Here is a 6814-nt window from a genome sequence, read left to right on the forward strand (position 1 = left end):
CTAAAAATAAAAAAATTAGCTGGGCATGGTGGCAGGCACCTGTAATCAAAGCTCCTCAGGAGGCTGAGGCAAGAGAATCGCTTGAACCCAGGAGGTGGAGTTTGCAGTGAGCTGAGATTGACCCATTGCATTCCAGCGTGGGTAACAGAGAGAGACTCTGTCAAAAAGAAAAGAAAAGAGAAAATACATTCTAATATAGCTATAAGGTGTGAAGCTCTTATCTGCTGAGGTTGTTCTTCTACCACAAGCAAGAGCCAGCAGGGTTCTCACCATCCCTTTTAATATAAGGATCTGTCCCCTAGATTTACCCCATAAGCAGTGTCTATGTTGGACTACTACAGTCCTAATTTTTTTTTATCAACAGAAAATACCAGCTTTTAATCAAATGCACAGAGAAAATGTTTTAGATAATGAGGATATTCCCCGGTTTGTTTTAAATCTAAGGAAGAGGAACAGGAGGGAAGTAATGACGTGTCAGGGACAGCATAACCTCTATGACTAAGGATAAAGAGGGAAAACCTTCTTGCCCTCAAAGTGAAATCCCCTTCTATTTTAGGAAACACTCCTTTACTTTAAAGAATCTCTCAAATGAGTCACTAGGGTTAGATCATATTCTTCTGGGACATTTACTTTCCAAAGGATAAAATTTTCATGCATCAGTTAGAAAGGAAAAAATATAATCTGGCAAATAGGAGGCAGAACAATCCCTTTCCAAATGCTCTGTCTGTTCTGTCCTCTTAAGTCAACAGAGCACAGCTAAATATGGCAGACAATAAAGATCTCAGTTTTGTGAAGATAAAAAGATTCAAACCTGGTCAGGCGCAGTGGCTCATGCCAGTAATCCCCACACTTTGGGAGGCCAAGGCTAGAGGATCACCTGAGGTCAGGGGTTTGAGACCAGCCTGGCCAACATGGTGAAACCCTGTCTCTACTAAAAACACAATAATTAGCCAGGTGTGGTGGCAGGCACCTGTAATCCCAGCTACTCAGGGGGCAGAGGTTGCAGTGAGCCAAGATCACGCCACTGCACTCCAGCCTGGGCAAAGAGCGAGACTCCATCTAAAAAAATAAATAAATAAATAAATAAATAAATAAAAATAAATAAAAGATTCAAACCCAAGTCTTTAGTCCCAGGGTTTCATGTAGCAGCTTTTCTGTAGCTACTGCCCCCACAAAGCCCCTACTTTGCCTGAGCATGATGTGTTTCAGGGTGGAGAAGTGGACTATTACGGTGCTTTGAAGTATTTTTCAGCTTTCTGGCTGAAATCATAAATGTGTACTTTAAGTCAAGCTAGATAGAGACATATGAATAGATGCTGTTTTATTGCTCACCCATTTAAAATGCAAATGATAGTACCAAAAATTACCAAAGTCTACACTCCAGATGTTCCTGTTATTCACAATGGCTTTTTATTTTTTTGGCTACACTTATCCTCTCCTACATATCTCTGAATTTATTCTACCACATAACCTTCCTTATGAAAACACCTACTTATTTCTTAAATAATTTTGTTGTATATATTTAAAGAGTTGGAATCAAAAAATAAATTCATTTTCTCAAGTAATGAAAAAGCCAGATCTTCATTTCCATATCCCAAAAGTCAATTATGTAGAAATAAACAACATAAAGTGACAGACAACCTATTTATGAAGCTACATTGATTGCTCTGTGAAAACAAAAGTAGCTCAGTTTTCCTCAAGAGCATGTGAGGAGAGGTCTACAGTAGGACCTTAAAGAGAGGCACTAAAGTTCTTTGATAGGTACCCAACTCCCCATGTGAGATTGCTTAATTCAGTCTTGAACATAAAGGAAAACACACACACACACACATACACACACATGCACACACATGTGCATGCACACACACAGGAAAACTCAGTCTCTTTCTGAATGAAGGCAAAGCCCTATTGCTGGACATAAATGATAGGATGTGGTTTCAAGCATAGCAAAATATACACTCATTCTTCATTCATTCATTCATTCAATTACTCAGCAACTGTCTATTAGCAATTTCTACGTGCCAGCATCACGCTCAAATGAGAAAGACATGGTCCCTACCTTCAGAAGCTTCAAATCCAGTGGAGGGAGGAATACACTATTAACACTCTATTGACTGGGATTCTTAGCATTACAAATGACAGAAGTTACATAAGAACTTATGTGTGGGGAAGTTATTGGAGGTAACTGAATGTTCTAGTTGTAGATGTCAGGTATGACTGAGTCAAACAAAATCAACAGGCAATCTGTCTCATTCCATATTGGGGCTTTCCTTTTCTTTGATTAATTTCACTCTCAAGGCAGTTCTCACCTTATGGTGGTAAGAAGGTCACCAATAGTTCTAGGCATACATATCACCAGCTTAGGAACTAGTGTGGAAATAGAGTCCTTGCCCATTTTTTCCAACAAAAGTCCCAGAACTGACGCTAATTTAACCTAACTGGGGTCACATGCTCACCCCCGACTCACTCTCCATGACTACAGTGATAGAACATCTTACTTGGCCAGGCCAGTAGACTGAAAGTATGGGAGGGATGTTTTCACTAAGAAAAGAGGATGTCATTCAAGAAGGGGAATGGGTGCATGTAAAAAACAGATGTCCACCGCAACAACATCACAAGGCTGAGCATGAAACAAGGGTAACAGAGAGTGCTAAAGCAATATAGAAATAGAACATTTAATTGCAATGAAAGGAGGGGACTTAGGAGGCAGGCAGGTAGTTGTCAAATTCATAGAAAAGTGGCATTTTCGAAGCGGCAACTCTGGAAAAAGATCTGGGAATTCCCCACATATTTAAACATAGCTTTATCTTATGACTCAGCAATTCCACTCCTAGGTGTATACCCAAGAGAAATGAAAGCAAATGCGCATACAAACACCTGTACACAAAGGTTAAGCAGTGTTATTCACAATAGCCAAGAGGTATAAATAGTCCAAACCACCCGTCGACTGACAAATTTAGATAAGCAAATGTGGTACGGACACATAGCGAAATATTATCTGACCATAAAAAGGAGTGGAGTGCTGATAAACACTACAACATGGATAGACCTTGAAAACATTACGGTAAATGAAAGAAGCCAGACCCAAAAGACCACTTACTATATGATTCTGATATGAAATGTCCAGAATGGGGAAATAGAGACAGAAAGATTTGTGGTTGCTTAGAGCTGAAGGGAAAGGGGGACCTACAGGGTATGGGTTTTCTTTTGAGGGGATGAAACTGTTCCAAAGTTTACTGTGGTGATGATTGCACATATTTGTGAATATACTAAAAGTCACTGAATTATACACTGTAAATGGGTGAACTGTACAGTATGTAAACTGTATTTCAATAATGCCATTTTGACAAAATAATATTTAAAAGACAGGTTGGATTTCAACAAGTGTAATCTCAGGCTAGTACATATGAGGCTGGGGAGTTAATGTGACAATAGACATAGTGAGTTGCCTCACTTGTTTTACAAGTACGGCAGAGTCATGTGAGTCTCTAGAGGATGCTGTGGTGTGCAGCCCAGATTTCCCTTTCAGAACTAAACAATCTAGTTCCACAGCTACTGGGAGCACACCTGACAACAGCCCTCCACAGGAATTGCCCTCAGCAGCACAGGGCTACTCACCCAAGACCATGTCCCTCCCCAGCAAGAGCCTCCATCCAGTGACTGGTTGCTGTGAGTGTGTATAGAGGAACTGGACAGCCTTTTTTTTTTTTTTTTAAAGACAGAGTCTCGCTCTGTTGCCCAGGCTGTAGTGCAGTGGTGAGATCACAGCCTCCAGCTCCTAAGTTCAAGCTATCATCCTGCCTCAGCTTCCCATATAGCTGGACTACAGGTGAGTGCCACCACACCCAGCCAACTTTTTTGTACTTTTTTGTAGAGATGAGGTCTCATCCAGTCCGGCCTCAAACTTCTGGCCTCCAGGGATCCTCCCACCTCAGTCTCCCAAAACTCCCACAGGTGTGAGCCATCCTGCCCAGGTTCAGAATAGCTGTGAAAGGCCACTTATGCTTCAAAGCTCACCATGGGTTGTCTGAGGACTTTGCTGCGATCACACTGCAGCTTCACATCTCATCGTACCCACTCCTGGTTCCCTCTCCCGCTTCTTCCCAGAGTCTGCTTTCCATAGAATCCAATCTGCAACGTGGTGCATAGAAGATGGCGCATAAAAGGAACATAACTTTTAAACAGACTAGAAAATTAGATTTGGATTAAACTCTAGAGGACCTTGAATGCCATGTTAATGAATGTGATCTTCAATAGAATATAGGAAAGTAATCATTATAATTATATTTGGGTTAAGCAACCCAAGCAACCAGGTTAAAGAATTACCTAGAATGAGGCAAGATAAAGGACAGAAATACAAGTTAAAAAATCAATCCAAGAGTACAGGCAAAAGGACAAGTTAGTGGAGACCACAGACAGGACTATGGCAATGAGAATGAAGAGGAGGAAAGAAATTGGGAGACATCATAAGAGAATGAACTGGGTTTGATGAATGATGAGGTGAGAGATATTTTAATAGTAAGAAAGAAGATGAAAAAGACTACAAGTTTTCTAGTCTCAGAGTTGGCTAACAATAAGAAGAGTAGCACAGTGATAAGATGTATCAGTCAGGGGCCAGTAAAAAAACAAAAGCCACACCAGTTATTTTAATTGCCAAAAAAGAATATAATATAACCATATTTAGAGAACCACAAGGCAAAAAGGAACAATAAGGTACCATGGGCTGGGTACAATGGCTCACACCTGTAATCCCAGCACTTTGGGAAGCTGAGGTGGGAGGATCATTTGAGGACAGGAGTTTGAGACCAGCCTGGGCAACACAGTGAGACCCTTTTCTAGAAAAAAAATTAAAAATCTAGTAGGACATGATGGCATGCACCTGTAATCCTGGTTACTTGGAAGCCGAGGCAGAAGAATCACTTGAGCCCAGGAGGTCAAGGCCACAGTGAGCCATGATCATGACACTGTAAGACAAAGCAAGACCCTGTCTCTAATTAATAAATAAATAAACATGGTATCATGAAGTAAGCAATAGCAGGAGGCAGCTGCCATCCCTAGGACTGGGGGAACAAAAGGAAGAAACTATAATTATTAAAATATAGAAGTTTAGAGGGACCGAGTGTGGTAGCTCATGCCTATAATCCCAGCACTTCGGGAGGCCAAGGCAGGAGAATTACTTGAGGCCAGGAGTTTGTGAACAGCCTGGACAACATAGTGAGAACTGCTGTCTCCAAAATTTTCAAAAATTAGCTGAGCTTGGTGGCATATGCCTGTAGTCTAAGTTACCTGGGAGGCTGAGGCAGGAGGATCACTTGAGCCCAGGAGGTGGAAGCTTCAGTGAGCCATGATCCCATGACTACACTCCAGCCTGGGTGACTAAATGAGAACCTGCCTCTCAAAAAAAAAAAAAAAAAAAAAAAGGAAGGAGAAGTAGTAGAGTAGTAGTAGTTTGGTGGAGGAACCCCATAGATCTGGGGACTAGACCTTGAGAAGTAGGTGTTTTCAACTGCTGTTGCTGTTCCTGAGTCTGGTGGTGTCCCATGGGGCTGGAATCCAAGCCTTTGAGGAGGGCACATCGGCCAGTGATGCTGGTATTTGAAGGATGGGGATGGGAAGTACAATAAAGATAGCTTTGCAAGTGTTGGGAAAATTGCAAAATAGGAATTTACCTTTGCAACTAGAACAAAGTGCCTCTGCTGGAGTGAAAGGCACTGCAAGGGTGATGCAGGCAACAAAGAGGAAAAAGCAAGTCCCTTCTCTCTGCTCCAGCTTTATGGTCTCCTTCTGATGTCCCCATTGGCACAATCTCTGTTCCCTTGGGTTAGCTATTTAATGTCCTTAATCCTCAATTTCCTCATCTAGTAAGTGGAAATTCACATTAGTCCTACCTTATATATCATTTCATTGATACATGTAATGTGGCACATAAAGTGAGCTTTTAGTGAACACATTTCTCTAATTATTATTAAAATGGGAAACCTAGGAGGAGAGAAGGAAGTCAGTTATTTTACAGTTCGTTTTTACTCTTTGAAGGGGATGGGGGGCAGGGAAGAGTGAGTTTTCGGGGTCATGTTGAGTTTGAGTATCTTCTAGAATAGCTTTGTTTTATGTGGAAAGAGTTAAAGTGTAATTCTAGACTCAACCAAGAGGTTGATATAACTTTTTCTGAAAATAGCTATGCAGAAACATGAGCAGGGAAATAGGTATGCTCAGGGGTCAGGCGGAAGTTTATGAATCAGAAGACACTAAAGCTGTAGTCCTCAAATTCTAGTATGTATCAGAAGCACCTGGAGAGCTTGTTCAAATACAGATTTCAGGGTCCCACCCCTAGAATTTCTGATTCAGTAGGATGGTGTGGCTTGAAAAGCTGCATTTCCAACAAGCTCCCAGGTGATGCTGATTGCTACTAGTTCAAGCACCACCCTTTGAGCAGCACTGGTCCAGAAAGCTAAGGCCAGAGCTACAGTCATTGGTTAGTCTCCAGACTACATTTAAAAAGGAAGGGGAAGAAAATAATTGTTAAGAATCTACAATGCACCAAAAGTTTTGCATTCTTTAATTTAATGAGCTCAACAACCCTAGGAAGTAGGTGTTGTCATCCAATTTTTCAGATAAGTAAATTGCAACTCAGCAAGGTAAGAAAGTTGCCCAGAGCCACATGATTAGCAGGGTAGTAACACTGGGACTCAGATCCAGATCTGTCCAACTCAAAAGCCTATATTTTCTCCACTGTGTCATGCTGTCAACTTCTCTCGGTAAAGTCAGGAGGGTAATAGGAGGCTTACTGGCTAAGAAAGACCTACAGTTTACAATC

General features: G+C 41.3%; 2 annotated features.

Moving 5' to 3' along the window:
* Nucleotides 2279-2538: an enhancer, noted in NCBI's record as "active region_19589". NCBI's record gives its function as "activates an Ori minimal core promoter by ATAC-STARR-seq in GM12878 lymphoblastoid cells {active_cell/tissue: GM12878}" and the evidence as "EXISTENCE:reporter gene assay evidence [ECO:0000049][PMID:35858748]".
* Nucleotides 2649-2798: an enhancer, noted in NCBI's record as "active region_19590". NCBI's record gives its function as "activates an Ori minimal core promoter by ATAC-STARR-seq in GM12878 lymphoblastoid cells {active_cell/tissue: GM12878}" and the evidence as "EXISTENCE:reporter gene assay evidence [ECO:0000049][PMID:35858748]".

This window comes from Homo sapiens, chromosome 3 (assembly GCF_000001405.40).
Source record: "Homo sapiens chromosome 3, GRCh38.p14 Primary Assembly".
Taxonomy (NCBI): domain Eukaryota; kingdom Metazoa; phylum Chordata; class Mammalia; order Primates; family Hominidae; genus Homo; species Homo sapiens.